This window comes from Homo sapiens, chromosome 7 (genome assembly GCF_000001405.40).
Source record: "Homo sapiens chromosome 7, GRCh38.p14 Primary Assembly".
Lineage (NCBI taxonomy): Eukaryota > Metazoa > Chordata > Mammalia > Primates > Hominidae > Homo > Homo sapiens.
The window spans coordinates 121,374,807-121,400,481 of record NC_000007.14 but is presented as its reverse complement, the minus strand read 5'-3'; the positions used below and the strand labels follow the sequence as shown (position 1 = coordinate 121,400,481).

The window sequence follows — 25,675 nt, the reverse complement described above, 5'->3', positions numbered from 1 at the left end:
TATAGCTGGTGCCTTGGGGAAGTGGTTGGGATGGTGTGGATGGAGAGAGAGAGCTAGGCCTCTCTCTGCATGTAGTTTCTCATTATTCAGTAGTTGTCTGAGTTTCCTATATGGTGACTAGATCCTGAAGCTAGTGAAAATGGAAGCTGCAAGGTCTCTTAGGGTCTAAGCCCATAAGTCACATAAGATCTCCTCCATGCATTCTATGGGTCAGAATAAGTCCCGGGGCCAGCCTAGGTTCAAGAGAAGAGGACATAGATTGACCTCTTGATGGTAAAAAACAAAGTGGCATGAACTTACAGGAATGGGGGAATTGTTGGTAGCCATATTTGCCTATAATTTACTACTCCATATACAGAAAAATGATACCAAGTGGACTCTTCTTCTTGAGGGTGGGTGCAATTAAAATTCTGAGGCTTTTTGGAAATTTTGTATTTAACAATATTATCTAATTCTTATATATACATTTTTTATATATTCTTATATAGTTACAGTAATATAAAGCAGGTTATAGTTTTATATAAAATATGGCACCTATTGAGAGAATGAACATTCCTTTCTTTTAATCATGATTTGTGGTTTTGTTTTTAAGCCTTATGATCACATATAATTTTAAAATTTGTGTATATCTCCTCTACTTTAATCATTTTAAGTTGGCAAAAGCACCATTCCCAATCACAAATACACAGCAGTTCTACGATTTTCTGTTTCTGAATGGCTTTTTTTTTTTTTTTTTTGAGACAGAGTCTCACTCTGTGGCCCAGGCTGGAGTGCAGTGGTGCGATCTCAGCTCACTGCAAGCTCTGCCTCCCGGGTTCACGTCATTCTCCTGCCTCAGCCTCCCCAGTAGCTGGGACTACAGGTGCCCGCCACTACGCCCGGCTAATTTTTTGTATTTTTAGTAGAGACGAGTTTCACCGTGTTAGCCAGGATGGTCTCAATCTCCTGACCTCATGATCTACCACGCCCAGCCTCTGAATGGCTGTTTAAAGACAATCCTAAATTATAACTTAGTTTGACTTAGATTGTAAATAATTCAAGAGTGAAGTTTAACTTGCTACTATTTTAAAAGCATATTATCTTACAGATCATCTATAAAATGTGAGAAGTGTTAAATAATCTTTATTTGATATTACACATACACCACACTAAAATGCCTTTCAATAAGTAAAAGGAACTATTTTAAATACAGGGAATTCTAATTAGATTGACATAGTTAAGGCCAAAAATATAAAGTAGACATTGCTACCTTATCTTCAACCCTTGCCTTTAAGAGGCAAATGAACACAAAACACAGGTGAATCTTGCTTGGTTCTGAGATAGTGAAGGAATTTCTCCAGTATTTAAATATATTCACATAACCAGTTATATAAATCCAAATATAAAACCAATCTCCAATATGTTTTAAGATGGCATTCACCATCTTTGTGAAAAGCTGAACATTACTAACAAAGTCTAATCAAATCATGTCTTTAGAAAGGGTAAACAGTGATAGCATTTACTGAATTGGATTACTATTAAAATTCAAAAAAACTGAACATATTCATTTAACTGCAAGCCAGTCTTAGTTTTACATCAGGACTGCCCAACAAAATATTCTGTCAGTTATTCATGATCTGAATTCTGGTGTGTGAGGTCTATTAAATTATGGTACACATAAAAAAGTCATAAGACATTTCTGTTTTGTAATAAATAAGGCAGTGGCCAATTATTATTCATTAGTAGCTTTTTTGAGATAAGCTATCAAGTCTGCTCTTTCTGCCTTCTTCTTAATGCTGGCAAAGATCACTTTGTTCCAGAGATGTGCTTCTTGGGATTCTCCAAATACTCCATCAGTGTATCCTCTCCCCAGGTGATGCCTTTGTTCTTAATGGCATCTGTGTAAAATAATCCAACGGCTTGACCTGTCTTCCATCCGAAGAGACCATGGAGATTAGGCCCAGTCCTGTGCTTGCCTGCCTTTTCCACAGTGTGGCACTGGGCACACTTCTGAATACAAATCTTCTTGCCTTTCTCAACATCATCCATATTTAATCCTCTCTTTTGTTGCTTGTGCTATGAAGGATGACACTCAGAAGCTGGATGTCACACTCTCTGTATATTCTTTTCGAGTCAACAAAAAAGTTGGGCTTTGAAGTTGAGCACGTGAGTTTGAATCTTAGCTCTGTCTGGTCATAGCAGAAGGACCTTGAGCAAGTTTCACTTTTCTCCGCTGTATTTATAGGATTATTGTGAGAATTAAATAAGTCTATATATATAAAGTGCTTAGAAAAGTGCCTGGTGCACAATAAGCACACAATAAATATCAGCTTTAGAAATATACATTATCAGTAGCTATTATTATATAATATAAATTATCGGTAGTTATTGTAATAGCCAACACCTTTGGCTTATACCTCCTGGAGCTGTAAAGCTCTGTGGTTTTATTAAGCTTAATCATTAATCCTGAATACTTCTCCTGGCTCCCCTACCTCCTGCCAAGTAAAAGTAGGAAGTTATCCTTACTCGTTTATAGGTGTAAGAACTGGCTGATTAACAGGAGTCCTAAAGAAGTGATTTACCAATGTTAAAAAAATTGAAACCCATATTAAGAAATATAATTTCTACTGTATCCAGGACATAGACACACAGACACTCACCCACACATGATGCTGTACAAATGTTTCATGAAGAATACTTATCCTGAATTTATGCTTTGAACTGTTTTTTTTTTCTATTTTTCAGTGAATCAACAGCAACAAAATGTTGGTTGTGACCCATTGTTATTAATTTCATTACCTACCAAAGGGTTCTAAGCTATATCTTATGGTCAGTGGAGAATAGGCTACTAACACATTAAACTTTATGCACAGGAATTGTTTCAGGTGTGGTGCTATAAGAATATGTCACATGTAATTTCCAATCTGGTTGGCTCGGTTACAGAGCAGATTGCTCTTTCAGAAATACACCGTGACCTCCCTACTCAAGAGGCTTCATAAACTCTTTCAGTGAGACATAGCAGTCTAGGAGAGGCATGTGTACAGTAAGTGTTATGATTTTTTGGTACTATAATAAGCAAAGTGCCTTTTTGTTTATTTGGAGCTACATGAAGCTAGGCCGGAATTCCAGCTTCATAACTTACTATCTTGTATTTTTGAGCAAGATATTTAAACTCAGTTTTGGAGTCTTAGTTTTTTGATTTAAGTAATACACAAATAGCATAATATTGGCACATGGAAGACAATGAGAATTCATTTCATGCTTTCTCCCCTGATCACGGATCACAAACTCCAGAATTCATAGTTACTATTAGTTTGTGTGTTTTATATTTTTGGAGGAAAGCTAAAATTTGGTAGATTATTAATTCTATATTAACACACTATAGTCAAACCCTATTTTTAAATGCAATTTAATTTCTGCAACCACTGATGATCCCAATATTCTGTCAAATACTAGGTAACAGTTATTCATTATTTTAGAATATGGATCTGAATTATGAAATAATTTTGCATTCTAAGGTCTTATGTAGTAAGATTTGGATTAACTTCCCAATTATCAACACAATTGTAGGAAATCTCCTGAGAAAAAATATTTCTAACGATTGTGTATCTTATAATTTAAAAAATAAACGTGACTTGGAAAATGCAAGGACTACTGTTCTTCTTGGGTGGTGCATTAAAGGTGATCAGAATTCTAATGACGCTGGACAGTAGGATTTTCAGAATCAGTTTCCTAGGGTTCAAGAAGTCAAACGGCAAATAACCCAAGGTCCTTGGTTGATCTGACCATCTCAGCTATCTCAAGATATATAAGATGACCTAACTGGCGCATCTCTAGGATGGGTGGGTCATTTAAAATGTTCTGCCCTTGAGGCTGGGATTTTGTGCGTGTAAACGGTGGGGAGACGGCGGTGACACATTTTTCTCCCTCCCGTAGTGCCACCCGGCGCAGGGCCGCTGCGGCGGCGGCAGCTCCCACGTGGCAAGTTCAGATTGTGCAGCGCCTGGCCGGGGGCGGTGGGCGGGACCGCAGACCCCTCCCTCCGCTCTCCGGCCCTTCCCTCTGGCCGGCCCGGGCGCCCGCTTGGTCCTCCACCGCCAGGGGGCGGGCGCGGCTTCCCGGCGGCGGGGGCCCATTGGTCGCGGCCGGGAAGCGTGGGAGGAGGCCCAGCGGCGAGCTGGCTTTCTCCTGGCCACTTGCCGGGGTGAGGGGCAGCCGGAGGAGTCCGAGAGGAAGCGGAGGCGCGAGCTGGAGGCGGCGGCTCCCGTCGGCCTCCGGCAGGACTGAGCGCTGGGAGGCCGGAAGGCGGGCGCGCGCGGCGGAGAGGCGGGCGGGAGGCCGGTGAGACGGCTGGGAGGCGGACGGAGCCGGGGCTCAGGTTCGGGGAGGGATGGAGGAGGCCGGGGAAGCCAGACGCCCACCTACGACTTCAGCCTCCGCGCACTGCGGTCACCGGCCGGGGGCGGGCCCCGGGCCCGGCCGCGTTGTCACGGCGTGTCCGGACGTTGGAGAGGGCGCAGGCGGGACTGGGGTCCCGGAGAGCCGCTGGCCGGGGTTCCCGGCCGCCGCCCCGGCGTGGGCATCCCCGGGCTCCGCGGAGACGGGGCGGCGTCTGCACCTGGCGCTGGCACTCGGCGCCCCGGCCTGGGGCGGGCACCTGGGTCGCATCTTCCCCAGGTTGGCTGTGGCTCGCGCCCCTGCAGCGTGTAGGCTGAGAGCTCCGAGAGGTGGGGACGGAGTTGGGTGTTGCATTCCAACTCCATAGGGGGCCGTTTTGACTCACTTGTAAAGTTTTAGTGTCGCCTATACTAGAGGTACTTTTGGTTTTTTACAAGCTATCCAGCCCTTTGATGTTTGGTGTCTCTTCTTTTTCTTCCTATTTGTTTGCTACTGCTCTCACAGCTCGGGACCACGGATGATGATTAGTGGCCCTAGATCTGAATATGTGAGTGACGGATTGGCAATTTGAGATTGAGAGCTCCAGCTGTTTTACTTGTGGGAGGAGCGGTTTCCATCATCCTCTACCTTTTTTTTTTTTAAGAAAAAATATTATTGCCTGTAATATAGAACTGCTATCTAATTGATAGGACTTTTCCTTTGTTTCTTTTTGGCCAACATGGTGAAACCTCGTCTCTACTAAAAAATAAAAAAATTAGCCAGGTGTATGTATCCATATATATATATGTATGTATGTATCCATATATATGTATGTATCCATATATATGTATGTATCCATATATATGTATGTATCCATATATATGTATGTATGTATCCATATATATGTATGTATCCGTATATATGTATGTATCCATGTATCCATATATATGTATGTATCCATATATATATGGATACAATGACATAAATAATATTAGATTGCTTACTGTGTACTAGGCACTGCCAAATGGTTTCGTGTGCTCATTTATTCTCACAACAGCTCAGTGAATAAGTCCCTTTATCTTTTCTAGTTTTACAGATGGAAATATGAACTCCCGAGAGTAAAGGTCAATGCTGATAGCAGAGGCCCCGACCCCTTGGACTTGTGGCCAATTTGCAGTTACGTTTTCTTAAGTCTTGGGAACCGTTACTATTAGTCATACAGTATCTTACAGAGTACCAGCAGATCTCTATTGAATTTAGAAAATAAAAGTTAATCACTTACTGAAAGCCATTTAACAAGAAATTGGCAGAATCAGCAAATCAGCATCCGGTTTTGGTCACTTCATCGACCTGTACCTCTTTCTAGAGGCTACTAGTAGTCTCTTGTGTTTCTTGGCTGTTTACCAATAAAGTCACAAGGTTTTCAGTTTTATACAGGTATTAGAAGCTTTGTTTCACAGATTCTTGTAATGTTTTCTCAACTCAATAAAGACTAGCATTTCTTCATAGGAAGAAATAAGAAGAGTTGGAGCCAATAAAAGGAGTTCAGTCCAGCAGTTCTCAACCTGAGGACCTCTCTGAATTACCAATGGGAACTTTGTAAGAGGGACACAGGACAGGTTCCTCAAAATCCTCATTGTAAGGGGCTTCTGTTTCAAAAGGGAGTAAAAATAAGACACTACTGGCTTAAAGTGACTTTAAAAATAAACTTAATGGATGTTTTATTACAATTACAGATTTTTAATGTGGATTGCTGCCTTAAGCATTGTCAACTAATCTTTCATAATTTATGAAGATACATTAAAAAGGAAAAGGAAATTGGAAAAGACAGCCAAAAGGCTAAGAGGCTATGGAATGGCAAAAAGTAATGTTCCCTGAGGGGGTATCAGAAGACTCATATATTTTCCACCATATATTTTAGGTTTTGAACGATTCATTTTTCAAAAATTTTTATACTCTTAAAAATACTGGAGTGCCTACCATGTACCAGTAATTGTAGATATCATGGATACTATGAATAAGACAGCCTGGGCACTCACAAAGCTACTTTATTTTCTCTAAAGCAGGGAATCTTTTTTATTTTTATTTTTATGCCCATTTCTTAAAGCTGAAAGGTGCAAGACCCAAATAGCAAAAGATTTTTATGTTAGCGCTGAGCTAGATAGATTTTTGTGCGACCTTGGTATAATAGCAAAAGTTTGTCTTGAATTTAGTCCAGAAGCGTCTCTGTTCTTGGGATCAGATGATCAGGATTTGAAGCATTGATTCTGTATTTAGTTATTTCAAGAGTGGCATTGACTAAATTACTTAATATCATGCAGTCCTTTTTAATCTGATTGAGTAGACTGAACCAGGTAATTTCCCAAAATCTTTGAACTTTTAAAAGGTTTTGTACTTTCTTTTAATGCAATTCTTTGAGACACAATCGGCTGACTTCCTCTCAGAGGAGGAAATTAAGTGTTGTAATACCCCTAAGTCTTTCCAGTGTACCCATTAATATTCTTTTTCTTCTTCATTGGCCTGCTCCATTTGATTGAAGCTATTCTTATATTTCCCTTATTTTTAATCTAATTTTGAAAATCCGCTATTCATGATTTTTCTAACTTCAGTGAGTTTTTTCTTCCAATTTTCTTTTTTAAATTAAATTCCTGTAACAGAATTTTTCATTTTATTTTTAAATTATTTACAAAGACAGGGTACCCCACTGTTCTGCAGACTGGAGTGCAGTGGTGTGATCATAACTCACTGTAGCCTTGAACTCCACCTTAGCCTGTGGAGTAGCTAGGTTTACAGGCATGTGCCACCACACACGACTAATTTTATAATTTTTTTTCTTAAAAGACGGGATCTTACTATTTTGCACAGGCTGGCCAAATCTGCCCTCAGGTGATCCTTCGACCTCAGCCTCCCAAAGCTCTGGGATTACAGACATGAGCCCCTATGCCTAGCCAGATTTTCCATTTTAAAGTGTGGCATTTAGCACGTTCATGATGTTATGAACCGTCACGTTTCTAAAACATTTTCATCACCCCAAAAGGAAACCCCATATTCATTAAGCAGTTGTTCATTCCCTTCTCCCTGCCAATCCTCGGCAACCACTGATCTGCTTTCTGCCCCCATAAATTTATCTATTCTGGATTTTCCTAAAAATTGAATAATTCAATATGTGTTCTTTTGTGTCTGGCTTCTTTCACTTAGCATGTTTTAGAGGTTCGTCCTCTAAATCAGCAGGTATCAGTACTTCATTCCTTTTTAAGGGTGAGTAATATTCCATTCTATATTCCATTCATATACACCACATTACATATATATCATTTCGTTGATACGTACTGCATTTTGTTTATTCATTTGTTAAATTTTTGTGTGCTATTCAGAAAGTTATATGAACATCTCTAAATTGATTTTCGTCATAATCTCTACAAGGCTTGCTAAGGTAGTGTTATGGTGTCAGGTGTGCTACCTAACATATCATTCATTACTTGCAGTTAAGTGATTGTTAAATGAGTTTTGAAAGACGCAAGGTCAACAAAAATGGATTTTTAAGTTGGTTCAGTTGATACGTGGTGTGGTTTGGTTCTGCGTCCCCACTCAAATCTCATCTCAAATTGTAATCCCTGTGTGTCGAGGGAGGGAAGTGATTGCATCATGAGGGCGGCTTCCCCCATGTTGTTCTCGTGACAGTGAGTTCTTACAAGATCTGATGGTTTTACAAATGGAAGTTTTTCCTGCACTCTCTCTCTTCTCTCTCCTGCTGCCTTGTGAAAAAGGTGTCTGTTTCCCCTTAGCCTTCCTCCATGATTGTAAGTTTCCTGACACCTCCCCAGCCATGTGGGACTGTGAGTCAGTTAAACTTCTTTCCTTTATAGGTTACCCAGTCTTGGGTATTTCTTTATAACAGTGCAAAAACGGACTAATACAATACGTTTTCACAAAATTTTACAATAGAAGCATCTTTAGAGTTTATTTGAACAAACAATTCATGAATTGAGCAGCTCCAAACCAGATCTGGGAGCTCCACCAGGGGAATCCAGGAGGGAGGCTTTTATAGGAGGGTCACAGATGTAAAGCAAAGAAAATATTTGATTGGCTGCAGTTATACAGTTGTTTTATTTGGTCTGTCGTGTTGGAAGGTCCCCTAGATATGTAATTAGAAGTTTGTTGGATGTTTCTGATTGATTAAGCTTAAGTTCTCTTTTTCTTTAGCATAGGCATTTATAAGAAGTAACTTCATATTTTGCTTATGTTTGCAAATCAAGTGAGGTTGATGTCACTTATGAGGCCTAATTGGTTTTGTCTGCTCGGGGATTCTTCAGGCATGGTTTCCATTTTAATTTACTTCAGCAGTGCTAATTCTCATTCAGTTTTTGTGGTACAAATGGTGTGCCAATACTGCATTTCATCCAGGACCCTTGGGCGATGGAACCATTCTGTTTCTCCATGTCTTCATTTGGAGGGTGTGACTGATGGAATTATGTCTACCCTGGTGCACTTAAATTCTGCAGACTACTTCAAAACAGCATAAGTAGAGTGGATACCTAAGGGAATTCTTAAACACGTAGAACAGGAACCTATAACTTCTCATCTAGTACAATGTGAGATAGTTACATGAGATGAAGATAGCAGTTCTACTGTATGTAAATGTGTACCTTTCTCTAATCTCATTTTAGCAGTTTATGAGTGGGACACTTCATTACCCCATTTATGTTCAACCTCTAACAGTTAATATATTTCATTTTATTGTTGTCATTGTTTCTAAGAATAGCTATTTCTTTCTGTCCATCCATTCATTCATCTATCCATCTCTCCCTGGATGGTGTACTATAGGATTAAGGTAGCTTAGATCACAAGTGTTTAAACAATTGTAGAACTCATAGCAGGCAAAACTGAATGTCATTTTGTAGAGTTCTGTCTTGTTTTCTGTTTTGGGTATGTTTGTGGTCTTGGTTGCAGAAATCCAGTCACCATTTCATTTCGTTAAGTGGATTATAACTTTTTAAGCAAAATTCTGCTTTGGTAGATAATAAAAACTGCAAGAAAACATTTGAGTAATATTAAATCTAGTACTCTGGTTTAACCCCTGCAAACAGGAGTTCTTGATTATTTATTCCTCACCACATTTTCTCTGGATTTATCTGTTGCCCACCAAAACTGAAGACCCATTCTGGTGGCAGGTTGACTGTTCCAGAAAGAATGAAAAATCTTGTCATGTGAATTTTACTTTTGAACTTTTTTGGTTTAGATCTGCCTTACCTTCCCCCCCCCCCCCCCCCCCGCCCCACACAGCCTTTCCTGTGTGTGTGGATTGGTGTGCTGTAGATCTGAAGCTCTCAGATCTGAGCACGAATGACAGTCATCTGGGGAGCTTATTAAACATGCAAGAGCTTTAATCCCACTCCTAGGGATTCTGATTCTCCAGGTATGCAGTTGGCTCAGGAGTTTGCATTTTAAAAAACACACTAGTAATTCTGGTGTGCATGCTATAGGTAACCCTGTAGTAAGAGGTTCAAAGAACATATGATGTTTCATTGAATCTATGACGCCACAGATGGTAAGGGTCAGAATCTGGTAGCTTTCAGCTGCATGACTCCTAAGCCCTAATTTCCAATCTTGTGGCTAATTTGTTAGTCCTACAAAGGCAGTCTAGTCCCCAGGCAAGAAGGAGGTTTGTTTTGGGAAAGGGCTGTTACCATCTTTGTTTTAAACTATAAACTAAGTTCCTCCCAAAGTTATGGCCTATGCCCAGGAATGAACAAGGACAACCTGGAGGTTAGAAGCAAGATGGAGTTGGTTAGGTCAGATCTTTTTCACCATTTCAGTTATAATTTTGCAATGGTGGTTTCACTACTAAGAAATAAAAATGTGGTTGTAAGCCTTATCCTGAGTTTAGTTAAAATGAGGGAAGCAAGATGCAAAATGAGTTTAGTTAAAATAAATAGGGTATTAAGTGCCTGGCAACCAGAGGTTCCTCTTATTATCTTAACAGGTTATTATGAAGCATAGCAGATATGAGATTTTAAAAAATTACAAAGCAACAGTTCTTCAGATCTTTTACCATATAAATTATTTGATTGCAATGAGGAGTTTATATAAGGTGTCCTTAGTTGACATCTATTTGTAATGAAAATTGTACTGATGACTTTGTTTTAAAATGCAACTTAGGTGTATATGGGGGTGTAATAGACTCCAGTTTGGCCCCATATTAATTTCATCCTACTCATTTCCAGTCATTTAGATGTTGCTGGCTCAGTTCAGAAGTCTGATTTCTATCCTCCTTGTACTTCAGTGATTCCTGTTTTGTAATTATAGTCCACTGAAATAGTAAGGTGTGGCATAATCATTTGATGTCTACCTTTTTTTTTTTTTGCCACTTTCCTGTTAGAGAGTCCACAGCCCTCATTAATGCCAGCTAGGTGATTATACACATATATACCAGCCGCATAGCATCTTGTACTGAGTAGTGGTAGGATGTAATGGCAATATTTGGGGTAAACACCAAATCTGTGTCAGTGTAAACCTGAACTCTGGCTGCCAACTCAGAAATGCTGTAGTGGCATATTGGGTACTGAATGAGGGCTTATCTGTAGGTTAGAACAAATCTTTCCCCATTAATGAGAATTCAGTGAAGAGCAACCCCACCTGCTTAAGGTGCTTCCTTCAGTAGTAGTAGCTTGGAAAACAAAATATCTTTTTTAGGAAAAAGTTGCCTAGCCATGTTATATTTGGGTATAGAGGAGCAGAAGAGCTCAGATCCATTTAGTTTTTAGCTCCTTGAAGTGTTTTTGGAAGACATGGTTAAATACTTGTTGATCCACTAAATACCAGATTTCTGAAAAGAATAACTGTAGGTCTCTTTAGCTAATTCACATTGATTTAAGGGGGTTGTACTATGAAATTCTTAACATTGAGATGAATCATGTTGGAATACTTATGTTCTCAGAATGTAGTGTGTATGGCCTGTCAGGCTTGGCTGCCTCTCCCTACACTAAGTCTTTGGGTAAAAGTTGGCCTAGATGGGGCACTTTCATGATTTAGCTGAGCACTTTTGCTAACCTGTTTTTAAGTGGAGGGAGAAGCAGGTATTATATTTTACCAATTTCATTCTTAGAAGAATGGAGTTTTATCTAAATTGCTGTAGATAGAAGTTTTCCGAAGTGTTTTTCTCCATTCACTGTCAGGAGCGCCAAATGAAAAACAAGGTAGAGCAGTTTATGGTGGATTGTGGAGGAAAGCTGAACTTGCCTAGTATAATCCCAATTTGCTTCATATCTGGCATTGGTTAACATTCTAGGGGAAATTTAAAAACACTTTCTGGCTCATTTGTGCTTTTCCATAGTATACTTCTAATTCTATTTCTGTTTCTTAGCCACATTTAGATGTTCTCTTTTAAATGTAATTTCAATATGATGCTACTTAAGAAAATAAGAAAAGCCAGATGATGTTGATTCAGAAAACTGTCAAAAATCTAGGCATAGATCATCTGTATTCTTTTCCCAAGATTTTCAATAGAACATTAAACATTTATTTTAAAACTCTTATTGGTTCACTTGACCCATTGTTTATAAGTTTTTGGTCTGTTGCTTTTTGGGGGACACTTTGCAGAAGGAGTGGATACATTTACATCATAATCATTGGTGATCTTTTGAAAAATTTGTCATTCCTAGTATTATAGAATTCATATGGATCACCTCTCCCCACACCCCCAATTTTGTTTTTGTTCCTTTTTTTCCCTTTTCAAAATGTGAGTTTAGCTTGATTCTTTAAAAATCTGGGATACTTTTCTAGTTGCTGGTAGTCATGTAAAAATCTCCCTTTATTTGTGATCAAGTCATACCCACCTCTGAAGCTGTACAACAGGAGTGTGTGAGTGTGTGTGTGTGTGTGTGTGTGTGTTAAAATGGTGGTTTCTTTTAAAAGAGTGTACCTTCTAGGATTCGGTATCCTGCTAGTATTAAATACTTTCTCAAGTTAGTAACTAGATTTTTCTTTCAAGCCTTTAGTGTTAAAAACACCAAATTTTGTTAAATTTACAATATTTCTAACACAATGATAGCAGCTCAGATATCCTACTGAGTTTTTAAATGTTAATATTTTTTCAAATGAATGCAGTCATCTTATTCCTTTCCATTTTGTTATTTCAAAAATGTAGCCAGCTTTGCAAAGATGTGTGTATAGTTGCATTCAGGGGAGACAGGGTACTTGACAGCCGTCTGCATGTGCAATAGTAATAACTTGTTATTAAAGACAAGGTTTTTTAAAGCTAAATATTTGGAATTTTAGAAGTTTGTTAAGCATTAGATGCACATTTACTTCACTCTTTTTTTAAACCTATCATAAAAATAATCCCATATAAACACCCACATAAAGGAAATAGTAATGTAAGTTTTTTCCCAAGAACATAATTTTTATAGTTACTGAAGTGTAATATAGTGAGATTAATTTTTATTGGTTTCTTTACATTTCCTGGGATTGGTTTGGAAACATAACAGCATCTAGATTTGTTTCCACCTTTGCTATAGATGGATAGCTTCATCTACAGGATGGGAAGGACTTTTTTCTTCCTTTTGAAGAGGATCCATTCTGTTGTTTCTCATGGAATTATGCTTCTTTCTGTGGAGAGCAGATTATGAAAATGTTTGATGAACACGTGTGGAGCACAGAAATTAGGATTGTTTCATCTGTCCTACATCTGTAGTAGTACTTCTAAGAGGACCTGTCAAAGCCATGTGGAAGTTGTATGTCCTACACGTAGCCCAGCAAAAAAAGTTGGACTGTTAGAGCCTGGTTGGGAAAGATGTTTATTCCTTTATTTTTAAATTTTATATTTTTATTTCTTTTTATTAGGGGTTGACAAAGTACAACCCCTAGGCCTGTATGGCCCACAAGCCAAAACTGGTTTTCACATTTTTAAGTGGGTTGAAAAAAAATCAAAAGAATAATTTTGTGACACATGAACATTTTATGAAATTTAAATTTCAGTGTCTATAAAGAAAGCTTTATTAGAATATAATTAGACTCATTCGTTCACATGTTGGCTATGGTTGCTTTCTAGCTACAACTGCAGAGTGGCGTAATTGCAGTAGAGATTGTATGGTCCATAAAGCCTAAAAATATTTACCATCTGGCCCTTTTATAGAAAGAGTTTGCCAACAGTTGCCCTGTTTTACTCACATAAAAGTAGTTATTTATAGCAAACACAGTATTTTTTAAAAAATACCATGCTTTTGTTTGTAAATGCAACATCGGAGTAACCTACCCTAGTGACTCTTTGAGTTGTAGCATTCTTTTGATTTTAGTATTATCTCATTTTTCTCTTTTACTTTAAATGCTCTGGGGATAAAAATTTAATTTTTTACATTCTGTTCTTGAGGGGGTCTGTATTAGTCTGAGTTCTATAGAAAAACAGAACCAATTACATATATATATATATATATATGTGTGCGTGTGTGTGTGTATGTATAGATATAGCTCTAGATATATAGACATATATTCCTTATAATACATGTGGAGATAGCTTCATTTATATACAGGTATATGATTTGTATGTGCGTGTTTGTGTGTGTGTGTGTATATGTTTATTATAAGGGATTGGCTCATGAGATTATGAATGCTGAGAAGTCCAAGATCTGACAAGTTGGCAAGCTCTGACAGTCCAGGAGAATGAATGGTATAGTCTGGTCTGAGTCTGAAGGCATTGTCTCAGTTTAAAGATAGGCAAAGAAGGCGAATTCTCCCTTACTTATTAGAATCCCTTATTATTAGAATCATGGGAACTTTCTAAGTTGGTTGGGTTAAAATTGTCATTTGTCCAGCACTGAGTTGAAGTAGGATTGAATTGAATGATAGTTTCTCTATTTGTAGAGGATAACTTGTGGTATTTTCCTGTGGTTTAATTAAGTGCTGTTTGTTAATATTAAGTAGGTACATCAAAGGGTGTATTTGTACGTTTAATTTTCTTGTATCATTTCCATTTCAAGGAGGGGTTCCAATACCCAAGCTTAGTCATTTTGCCATACTGTTGAATTGCTGGAGTGGGTAGTTTGTAGCAATTCCCAAAGCAGTTTGCAAAAGCCAAGTTGATTGGCATGACATTTTGTCAACAAGCCTCTTATATTAGAGTGTGTCAGTGAACAGCTGGAGTGAAAAGGAAGTGGATTTGTTTGTAGCGTGAGCTTCTTACTTACCCTTCATGTGACCCTAGAGAAATCCCCTGATCTCATATATGCTGCTGTTTTAATGCCCCCAGCAACTAGAGGCTGGTGGGAAGATTACATAAAATAAGGGTGTGTGTGAATTGCACTGACATAAGTATGTATTCATACTTGGTTTATGTTAACTGGCAAGAAATCCCCCTCCTGGTAAATAATTTTTTATGACAATTTTGTCAATATAGAGTGATGTTTCTGTGGTTTATGTGATTTAGTCCACTTCCCAAGGAAATAATGGAAGTATCACTTGACCTTTGATTTTACTCTGTTGTTCCTGAAGTTAATTTATTCTAGAACAATGACTCCTTATTCACATAGTAGCTTGATTTCTACCTGAGTAATAAAACTTCACTAAATTAGATCAGAGTAGATAGTGGGGCCAAAGGAATGTTTAAATTGTCAACCATGTAAAGAAGTTTAGTACGTCCATCTGAGGCCCTAGTTCAGGCGCTCTTTCCAGCTGCAGTGTTTCATTGTCCAGCGACATTGTGGTGGCTGTCCTTGCTGTTGAATCTCAGGTGATTATGAACCTTACATATTAGCAACTGGATTTGGTTCAGTGACATATATTTATCAAAAACACTAAAACAAATTTTGGCCTATGTAACACTTTTTGGAGCAAATGTATAAATGTACTAAGTTGAGTTTTGGGGTTTTTTTTCCATCCTAAAAATATCCTTCTGTGACTCATTTTCTGGTTTTGGTAAGTGGCTCTAATATCTATATTTCTACCTTTTAATGAACATACTTATATATAAGCCCTTTCGCCTGTTGCCTCTAGATTTAGAGTTCTGAATTTCTAGCAAAGGCCTTTTTCTCCCTTTACTATTGTGCTCCTTTTCTCTGGACCTGTTCAATCCTTGTTTAATTATTGATGGTTTTCAGCCTGAAGTTTCCATTAAGTTTTTGCTTCCCTCACCCATACAAGATAATTGTATGTAAATATTTTCTTTGCTTTTACATGCCCCCTCTAAGAAGACAAATAGGAATGATTTAGAATTAGCACATTATCATCATACATAGATGCTCCTTGATTTGCTCTCAAATATATTCAATACTCCTATCCTGATGTAGATTCTTGAATCATTAATTTGCTTCTTAAGGAAATTAATTGAGGCATGTTATGGCTGAGATTTAATTTGATGAGATTTTAATTTAGAAATTTTACTAAATGTGAATTCTCTGAGACATTTTAATGGAAAACAGTTGTATTCAGCTAGACAATCATCATTGCTTATATTGTGGTCTTAGGGATGAGTTTAGAAACAGGTTTGTTGGGAGATACAAATGGGTGGCAGGTACATGCAGCATCCACTGCAAGGTGTGGCCTGAGCAGGCCATGGAAACAGTGAAATAGAACATCAAGTACCTGGTGCGTAACTGCTTATCACACTTTCAAAGAAATTTTCCTAGGTCACACTCAGATAAGAGTGAAGTTATTTTGGAAAATTAGCTGGCAGGAAAAGCATGTATATGTTATGAAAGCTGAGTTCAGTTTTGCCAGAAGCCAACAGAGGATTTATAACCAGTTGGGGTTTTCATTTAAAAAGCGGAGGTTTTTTTCTGCTTTTATGTGATGGTTTGTGGATACTTCAGTATCTTGTTTCCTTTTAGTATTTTCCTAGCCTGTGGCTAGGTAGTTGAAATAGATATATAACATTGACTTTTTCTATTACGTGGAAGCTGTTCAGATAATTAACAAAGGAAATCAATGACACACAACTCAGTTTAAGTGTTGTTTTTTCTTTAGGGTATGTTGTGCAGAAGAAAGAGAGCTAGCCTAAGAGCATTGGACTTTTGGGAGCTGTCCAGACTCCCCCGCCCCCCAGAACCCTGCTGAAGCCCACCTGCCTAGTCCAGTGAATAAAAAAAGTGCATGTCTCACTTCTTTTCAGTGTCCTTCAGAGATGTGCCATTATTACTATTTTCTTGACACATTCTGTGAATTACTAGATCAGGCAACAATATTGAAACATAAATATCAAAATACAATCTAAAATAGATATGTACTGCTGGCAAATGGGATTCATCCATCAAAATTTCCTTTTGAATTCCATTCCTTTACAATAGGTTGAGTTGACTGTGGAAGCTCTCCAGCTAAACTTGAATGTGGCTTTCTTATTAAACTTACTTATTTTTTCATTTTCTTTTCAAAATGTCACCTATTTTGAGTTATTTCTTAGGAGGAAAACACCCATGCACATACAGATTTTTTTCCAGCATCTGTTTCCTGTTGATCTTACAGTAATATCAAAGAACAGTTGATCCATTTGATGTATTAACATTACTCTGTCAATCATGATAATTGCTGGGATATTTAAAATTGCAGTTCTGTACTTCTTAACATATTATTTTACAAACTTAAATCGAAAAACATGAAGAGGTCCCTGGTATTGAAATCGGAAGCCCTTGCTGTAAATGCTTATGGTAGTGGCACTTGAATTATGTCATATCAAAAATGAAGTGGCATCATGTACTGGAGTGAGCCAGCTGACCTCAATTCCAGCCCCATGTCTACAAATAATTTGTTCCACAACTAGATAAGCAGCTTAACCTCTTTGGACATCATCTGCAAACTGAAGGTTTGGAGCTAAATATCAAAAGTTTCTTATAGATGCATAATCCATGAGAATAAGAAGGCATTCTCTTCTATTCACAAGCTTGATAACACACTTTTACTCTTTGGTCATTCAGTTAGCTGAAGACACAGCAGGGTAAGACAGACCCTCCTTGAGGTCTTATGGTCCAGTGGAAGACAGGCCCATTTTTTTTTTTTTTAATGCCAATGTTGGCATAATACTTAGAAATGTCATAAAATTTACTAGTTTATATGCCCCATTTCAAACTCAATCTAAGGAGGAATGTTTGCTCTAGAGCTAATGATATTTGCTTTTTGTTTTGATTTTTTAGGAGCATATTAATGAAAAGTGCCATAAACTGAAAAACCAAACATGAGGGTAGCAGGTAAGATATTTAATTTAGTAGAAGTAATTGTACTTTTTGTGTAACCTGTTTGTTAAAGAATAACTAAAGGAGAGGTTAAATAATCTTTATATTGAGAAGGTTAAACTGAAATAAACTAAATCATTCAGCCCTTTGTTTTTAGGTAGTTGGCAAATCACAAATTGGACATTTAGTCAGTATCACATAAATTTTTTTTTTTGTTCAAGTCTTTTGTTGAAATTACACATTGAGCTTCTTAAATCTGAAGATCTGAAATGCTCCAAAATCTAAAACTTTATGAGCAGCAACACATGATGCTCAAAGGAAATGCTCATTTGAGTATTTAGGTTTCAGATTTTCAGATTTGGGAAGTTCAGCTGGTAAGTATGATGCAAATATTCTAAAATCTGAAAAAAAAAAAAAAAAAACCTAAAGACTGTATATAATGCCCATATAAAGAATGGTTTGACAACCTAGGGAGGCTGATTTTTGTTTTTGCTATGTTCTAGCGTCTTGAGAAAAATGAGTTATAAAGTTTTAAAGTTTAAATGTCTCATATGTATGTACTTAAATTAAGATGTGTGTGAAGGATTCGATAAAATATGTGTTTTTGCTCAGTATTTGTTCAAGTTTAATCTGCATAGGTGAGTTTATGTGTAAGAACTTTAATCTGTTTATTAAGCAGCATATTGAGAAAATTGAAAAACACCATTAGATGTTCATAATATTAAGGTAGTTATATTTAAATATTCTAAAAAGACACGTTTATAAATAACTGGAGGGGCTGATGACCTCTTCCTGTGTAGTAAAAATAAGTCTGTTTTTCCCCACCCTTCCCATCAACCAAAGCCCTAGAAGAAATGCATACTTTACATGGAAATTTCTACTAAGCGTGTGCCCAACATAGGTAACTTGTAATTTCTCAAAATCAAGATAATTAGTCTTTTTCTTAATTGTCATCTCAGCAGCAAACCAATTATTTTCCTAAGGGAGCATCTCTTAGAAATGCCTAAAGTCAAGCTGGGTGAACAAACCAGTCTTCATACTGTGGTCATAATTGTGTAGAATCAGGCGCAATTGATTAAACATCATGATTATTAAACAAAGATAACTGAGGGCTGTTACAAATGCTTTTGTAGAAACTTGAAAAACTGAATCTCTTGTGAAATTATAAAGCAATTTTAAAAAAAGTAACGGTACAATTGTTCAAGAAAAATATTCTCAGAAACGAAGAACTTGTTTGTGGTCTAAATAAATGTGTTGCAATGTCTTTTTATGTTGCATGCGTGTGTGTGTGTGTGTGTGTGTGTGTGTGTGTGTGGATGTTCTTTGAGTACAGCAGGACTTACTATTTATGATGTCATGTCTCCAGATGATTTTTAAAGTACATTATTTAAGCATGGCAATTTGAAATAAAGTAAGTTTCTCTTTCTCACATAATTTTAAATTCATGTTATTTGAAATTAACTTTGTCATTTAGTCCATTTCTCTGGTTCTGACAATTCCCAGGTTAATTGATGAGTAATTATTCACTGAGTGCTTATTTTGTGTTTGGCACTGTTCCTAGTATAGGTCTTGAGGGAACTGCCTTGAATGAATGAATAAGGACAATTAGCTATTAATTTATTGCTTTTAACTAATTAATCTCTTCTAATTTTTTTAAAAAAATCTGATTGCTTTGAAATATCCTCATAGCCATTCTTCTTACAGTGAGGCATGAATGTCTGAAGTTTGTACTTCTTGGCTTGTGAAAAACTGGAGCACACTGATATTAGTGCAGTCTGTGACTAGGAGGAAGAGGGAATCTTATGGAAAGCTAAGAATGGGAATTGTGGTTGGTATGTTAGGCCCCATCAAGTCCAGAATGGGATGCTGGTCCTGGAGTCAGGCCAGCTTTGGGGGCGATCTCTGTAACAGAAGTTCCAGAACTCTAACCCCATGGAGACTGCTAGTTTCTCCACCTCTAACTTTTGTCTGCCTTAGAGCTTTTCTTTCCTCCTAGTTCCTCTGATGGTTCAGTGTAAGTGAACAGGTCTTGGTTTAAGACTCAATGTTGCCGCTGACTAGTTATGTGACCTTAGGCAAATGATGTAAAATTTTAGCCCTGTTTTCCTTATTTGTAAAAGGAAAATAATGCCTTGCAAAGTTATGCAAATGAGATTATACTTATAAAGCATTTAGTTCTACAGAAGACACTAAGTAAACGGTATATGTGAGTGTCATATATATATATATATATATATAAAATGTTTGTATATAGCTTTTTTAAAACTTTTAGGCTCAAGGGTACATGTACAGGTTCGTTATCTAGGTAAAATAAATTGAGTGTCACAGGGGCTTGGTGTACAGATTATTTCATCATCCAGGTAGTAAGCATAGTACCTGATAGGTAGTTTTTTGATCCTCATTCTCTTCCCACCCTCCACCCTCAAGTAGGCCCCAGAGTCTGTTTTTCCCTTCTTTATGTTTATATGTTCCCTTCTCAGTGTTTAGCTTTTGCTTATGAATGAGAACATGCACTATTTGGTTTTCTGTTCCTGTGTTAGTTTGCTTAGTGTAATGGCCTCCAGCTTCATCCATGCTGCTGTATATAGCTTTTTTTAATGTAGGCTTACATTTAGCTTGGTATAGAATTTAGAATGTTTGTGTTATCGTCTTGATATTTTAATTTTTCAGTTTTGAACAATGAAGTTTTCATATGACTGTTTTACAGGACAGGGAAAAGTTATCTCTGGTTGCATGTGCCTATGATTGCTAGAAAATAAGATGGTAAGACCATCATGTGACATGTAATTTTTGAGCTCTTGGTCTTAGTCTTAAATGATCAAGAAGGACTATGCCACCTGTTACCATTTATCTACTTAGCAAACAGTTGTTGATAGTATCAGTGTATACAGTGCACTTTGCTAGATCCTGGGGAGAAGAGTTCAAAGCCTAACAGAATTTTGCTCTCTTATGCACTAAAAATGTAGGCAACTTGTAAGTTGCTCTTGAAAATAGGAAGCAGATTTTGGAGGGGACAAGGTAGGAAATGGAAAAGGGAGGCAGGGATTGATTAGTATTATAGTTAGACTTCCTCATTGCTCTTTCATTTCTACATTAATAGTGTTTCTTTCGGATTTTTTAAGACTTTATTATTTTAAAGCAGTTTTAGGTTCACAGCTAATTTGAGAGGAAGATGCAGAGATTTTCTACATACTCCCTGTCCCGCTCCCCATGTAGTTATCAGTAGAGTGTTTCTATACAGAAATGAGTAGGCTGTGAGAAGCAGTAGCTCTCTGAGCATCATCAGTTCATTGAAGAGTCTGCGCACTTGGAGCTTTCCATGTAACTGTGTTATGAAGCATATGTGATAGGTACCAAATTATATCCTGCAGGAATGGAGAAGGCCTGTCTTAAGGTACTAAGGTATTAAGTATGAAGAGGAAGGCTTTGTTGATCGCCACACCAGGAGGGCTTATGTAGCTCCAGGAGATGTGTTGGTTAGTGATAGGACAATAAATCTGTAACATGTCACTTGAGAATTCCTCGCTTAGTGGACATTGTGGCCTTAGCATCCCCAGAAGTTCCACTGTTTTTGAAAAATCCTATCTAGTATTGCTCCTTATATTTATGAAGGATAAGGAATCTGCCATTCAACAAACTTGGTGGTGGTGTTCCATTAGTCATGACACTTTTTTGTTGTCAGCAACTAATAGGTAATTTTTTTGCATATAAAACTAGGCAGATGGTTCAAGCAGTCCTTTGGATAGCTAGATAATCTGAGAATTCTTTGATCAGGAAAATTCTTTATCTTGATGAATTGTTTGTATAATTTTTATGTATCTCATGTAAAATTAAGATCTAATAGATACAAAGTAGAAATGTATTGATCTTAAAAAATTTATAAACATTTTTCATAGAAATGCAAAATAAAAGTTCTGTGGGCTTACAAAGTTATGCTGAAATACTTCTGCCTTTTAGGTGCTGCAAAGTTGGTGGTAGCTGTGGCAGTGTTTTTACTGACATTTTATGTTATTTCTCAAGTATTTGAAATAAAAATGGATGCAAGTTTAGGAAATCTATTTGGTAAGTTTTATTTTTTTCCTTTCTTAAATCTTATTTTTGATGTGGCCTAAAGTTTTATCAGTTATCAGCACTGAGTCACTCAGTGCTAGAAAACGAAATGTGATTATTATATATCCATAAATATGATTTGTTAGAATATTTTACAGTATATAATTAGATATTTTGGAATTAATTTAGTATAAAACATGAATCTTCTATTCAACATTTTGAACATATGTAATGAGTCTATTTTATACATTTTTAGGGGCATTAATCATGGCATTCTAAGTGCACATTCTAAAACATAAAATACCTCCAGGCTTAAATTGTTTTCCTGTTTAAGTTGGCTGCTAGAAAACTTGAAGCCAAATCTAGCCCTCAGTTAGCCATATGATTAGGAGTCACGGTAATGCATTTTAGATACCAGCCATAGAAATCCGTCTTGCAGCTGGCTGTGGTGGCTTGCACCTGTAATTCCAGCTACTCAGGAGGCCGAGGTGGGAGGATCACTGGAGCCCAGGAGTTCCAGGCTGTGGTGAGCTGTGATCATGCCATACTGCACTCCAGCCTGGGTGACAGTAAAACCTCATCTCTTAAAAAAAAAGAAAGAAATCCATGGTGCTTTCTTATCCTTATTTTCCCTCTGTGGCATTTTTTTTTTCTAACCCACTCATTTAATGTTGCCATACTGTAAATGTACCATTATAAGGTACCTTAACCCAGTTTTTTAACAGAATCCTTACGTTCATAAAATAACATTTGAAATGTTTTCATATGAACCAGTTATACATAGTGCTATTGTAGATGATTGTATATGAATATCTTATTGAATCTCAAATAATTGTGAAGTATGCATTTCTTTTCTATAAATATACCGCTATAAGACTGAATAATAGAATTTAATTTTGACACATTAAAGTGGAAAACAATTATTTAACCAAGGCGCTATATAAGATCACAGTCATGTGTCACCTAATGATGGGGATACATTCTGAAAAATGCATCATTCGGTGATTTTTGTCATTGTGAGAACATCATAGAGTGTACTTACACAAATCTAGATGGTATAGCCTACCACACACCTCGGCTACATTGTATAGCCTGTTCCTCCTAGGCTACAAACCTGTATAGCATGTTACTGTACTGAATTCTGTAAGCAGTTGAACACAATGATAAGTATTTATGTATCTAAACTTGGAAAAGGTACAGTAAAAACATAGTACTATAATCTGATGGCACTACCACTCTATATATGGTCTGTTGTTGACTGAAATGTCATTAGGCAGCACCTGACTATAATTCTGAATCTCTTCGGGAAACTATTTTTGTACACTTTTATTATTGAAGCTAGAGAAATGATGAGATTCTTCATAGATCCTTGTACTTACATCGAGTAAACTATGACTAAATTGTTGTTTATAATATTAAATAAGCATAAAAAGTGATACTATAAACCCTAGAAACCATATTTTGGTCTAGTGGGCAGAAGTCAAATGAAAGAACTGAGATTGCTGGACTACTGAGTTTTGCTTTCCATAAATTCATGTTTGAAAGGAAAAATCCCCAAGGCTTAATTCAGTTTCCATATTAGGTTCTCATGCTGCTGTGAAGAAATTTGCCAGACTGGGTAATTTATAAAAGAAAGAGGTTTAATTGTCTGACAGTTCTGCAGGGCTGGGGAGGCCTCAGGAAACTTACAATCATGGCAGAAGGGTAGCAAACATGTTATTCTTGGTGGCAGAAAGGAGAAGTGCAGAGTGAAGCGAGGGGAAAGTCCCTTATAAAACCATCAGATCTTGTGAGAACTCACTATCATGAGAACAGCATGGAGGTAATTGCCCCCAGGATTCAATTACTTCCCACTAGGTCCCTCCCATGACACATAGGGATTATGGGACTACATTTCAAGATGAGATTTGGTGGGGACACAGCCAAACCATATCACTCCGTTTCACATTTAATCTCAAGACTGTTATTCCAGTGTTTCTCAAACTTTAATGCCGAAAGAATCTCCAGAGAATCTTAGTAAACGTAGATTTCTGAGTTAGTGTCTGGAGTGGGGCCTGAGATTCTGCATTTCTGACAGCTCCAAGGTGAGGCTGAGATCCCTGTCCATGGACTGCATACTGGGTATCAAGGCTTTGGACAATTCTGATATGTAGACTTCAGTTTTGGCATAAACCTTTTCAGGTGACTTTTCTTACAGTGACTACATAAAAGTACTTTCTTGTACAGGTTGAACATCCCTAATCAGAAAATTCAAAATCTGAAATGCTCCAAAATCTGAAACTTTTTGAACATCGACATGATGCTCAAAAGAAAATGCTCTTTGGAGCATTTTAGATTTCAGATTTTCGGATTAGAGATGCTCAGCTGGTAAGTGTAATACAAATATTCTAAAATCTGAAAAAATCCCACATCCAAAATACTTCTGGTCCTAAGCATTTTGGATAAGGGATACTTAAACCTGTACTGCACTGAATTCTGCCTTTTGTACTCCCAAGTAATTTCAGTTCACTGATCTTGTTTCTGCCTGCTAGAGCCCCCTTCTTCATCAGTGATTCCTCAGTTAAATTGTAGTCGTTGTCCGTCAGACCTTCCTTTACAAGTTTTCATCTTTTCCAGTAACAGAATCCTCCCTTTCAGCCATTTCTCTTGATAAACTGGTTATTTTCCTCCTAAACTTGTTTGTTTTTCAGCACACATCCTAAAATGAAGTATCCAGGTTCCAGCATAAAAGTAGTTACTGCAAAGTATAGTGAGATTTTACTTTACTTGTTCTGGTCTGTGTACTTCTATTACTACCTGATAGCCAGCCTGGTGGCCTTTCAGAACACAGCTGGTTTCAGTTGAATGATGGGGTGGAAACCATATTGAAGGCATAGAGGACTCGTTCCATGTTGCTCTGGAAGCAATGTGCATAGCTAATTCTTCTAAGACACGTTGATGGTAGGAGAAGCAGCTTATGAGATGGTAACTTGACTCAAAAGCAAGTTGCACATATTTTTCTTTTTTAAAGTAATAGGCTTTCACTTGTCTATAGGCCTTGGATGAAAGTTCAGTGAAGGACAAATGAATGCGAAGAGACTGAACCAGCAAGGAAAGGAGGATGTTTGGGAGAAGGGAGGCAGTGGGACCATTGGAACAAATAGAAGTTACATGGGAAAAGACCCACTGTTTTTAGAAAGAAGATTGAAGAGAAGGCTGGGTGAAGCTACAGTGTGGTATAGTCACTGTGCACATGCAGCTGATGGTTCCTCTCCAGTGATACCAGTCATGTCTGTCCTCACCCTTTGTCCCCCATCTTTGCCCTAGTTTGGATCTTCATCTCTAATCTGTACTGTTTTTATGAACATCATAGTGATGTTCCTTTCTCTTCTCATCTCTGATATCTGCCTATCTCACCACTTTCAGAGCCATTTTCTTAAAACTCAACAATCTTTAGTATTTCCAGTTACTAGAGGATAAAGTCCAAACTCCTTACTTAGGGTGGCACCCAAATCCCCCAGCCTGCCTTTCTCAGCTGGTCTTCACCCCTCCTTCCTGCATGGGTCACACTCTTGTGCCAGTCTGCACACAGTCTGCAGCTTCAAATCCCCTCCTGTCCTTTCAACCCTGACCTTTGCTCGTCCTGGTTCCTCACCCTGCACATCTTTCTCATTTTTTAGAACTTTGCATAAATTCCCCTTCTTTGGAAGAAATTGTGTTTGAACCTCCCTCTTTAAGAATGTATTGCTCCTTTTTCTGAACATTTGTTCTGATTGCATAGTACTTATATTTCAATTTGGCACTGATTTTAATCTGCCTTGCATTATATAATTTTTTTTCTTTTTTTCCTCTTTTTCCTGTGTCTGTCCCCCTTCACCCAAGAGTGAGTCTTAAAGGCGCTATTTTGGTGCTTCACCCAGCATCTAGCACTGGGTGCTGCAATCAGTAAATGCTGATTGAGTGAAAACAAATGTAGGTAACAGAGAATTAGGATTTCTACATGGAAAGGAAGAGTATTTCCAAAGTGGGATTCACATAAAGCTGTATTAGTTGGAATATCACTGGTAGTCAGCTATGAACAAACGTTGAGTTACTTTATTCTCCTACTTTTTATTTCTTGATTTTTCCTGATGTTA

The 25,675-nt window shown here is 37.5% G+C and overlaps 1 protein-coding gene and 1 pseudogene across 9 annotated transcripts in view, besides 6 other annotated features; one reads left to right on the top strand and one right to left on the bottom strand.

Moving 5' to 3' along the window:
• Positions 1-1,511: 1,511 nt before the first annotated feature.
• CYCSP19 (CYCS pseudogene 19) lies at positions 1,512-2,096 on the bottom strand (annotated as a pseudogene).
• Positions 3,810-3,869: a silencer, noted in NCBI's record as "silent region_18576". NCBI's record gives its function as "represses an Ori minimal core promoter by ATAC-STARR-seq in GM12878 lymphoblastoid cells {active_cell/tissue: GM12878}" and the evidence as "EXISTENCE:reporter gene assay evidence [ECO:0000049][PMID:35858748]".
• Positions 3,910-4,739: a silencer, noted in NCBI's record as "silent region_18575". NCBI's record gives its function as "represses an Ori minimal core promoter by ATAC-STARR-seq in GM12878 lymphoblastoid cells {active_cell/tissue: GM12878}" and the evidence as "EXISTENCE:reporter gene assay evidence [ECO:0000049][PMID:35858748]".
• Positions 3,910-5,137: a biological region, named in NCBI's record as "hESC enhancers GRCh37_chr7:121035399-121035984 and GRCh37_chr7:121035985-121036569".
• Positions 3,967-4,551: an enhancer, noted in NCBI's record as "H3K27ac hESC enhancer chr7:121035985-121036569 (GRCh37/hg19 assembly coordinates)". NCBI's record gives its function as "activates a minimal SCP1, AML or CMV promoter by ChIP-STARR-seq in primed H9 embryonic stem cells {active_cell/tissue: H9 hESC(primed)}" and the evidence as "EXISTENCE:reporter gene assay evidence [ECO:0000049][PMID:30033119]".
• FAM3C (FAM3 metabolism regulating signaling molecule C) overlaps positions 4,086-25,675 on the top strand; it is a 47,519-nt gene continuing 25,929 nt past the window's right edge. The window contains exons 1-4 of one of the 9 annotated variants that reach the window (XM_011515736.3): positions 4,174-4,320; positions 7,555-7,614; positions 17,472-17,525; positions 21,468-21,572. In XM_011515736.3, the coding sequence (XP_011514038.1) occupies positions 17,513-17,525; positions 21,468-21,572 (118 nt within the window). In that variant the 5' untranslated portion in view covers positions 4,174-4,320; positions 7,555-7,614; positions 17,472-17,512. Of the gene's footprint in view, positions 4,358-4,460; positions 4,794-5,010; positions 5,533-7,554; positions 7,615-9,120; positions 15,080-17,471; positions 17,526-21,467; positions 21,573-25,675 lie in introns of those variants that run through there. The other 8 variants (XM_011515737.3, XM_047419775.1, NM_001040020.2 and 5 more) reach the window with 8 other exon arrangements.
• Positions 4,552-5,137: an enhancer, noted in NCBI's record as "NANOG-H3K27ac hESC enhancer chr7:121035399-121035984 (GRCh37/hg19 assembly coordinates)". NCBI's record gives its function as "activates a minimal SCP1, AML or CMV promoter by ChIP-STARR-seq in primed H9 embryonic stem cells {active_cell/tissue: H9 hESC(primed)}" and the evidence as "EXISTENCE:reporter gene assay evidence [ECO:0000049][PMID:30033119]".
• Positions 14,985-15,182: a silencer, noted in NCBI's record as "fragment chr7:121025354-121025551 (GRCh37/hg19 assembly coordinates)". NCBI's record gives its function as "represses an EF-1alpha promoter that drives an FKBP-Casp9 reporter gene in an ReSE screen in HepG2 liver carcinoma cells {active_cell/tissue: HepG2}" and the evidence as "EXISTENCE:reporter gene assay evidence [ECO:0000049][PMID:32094911]".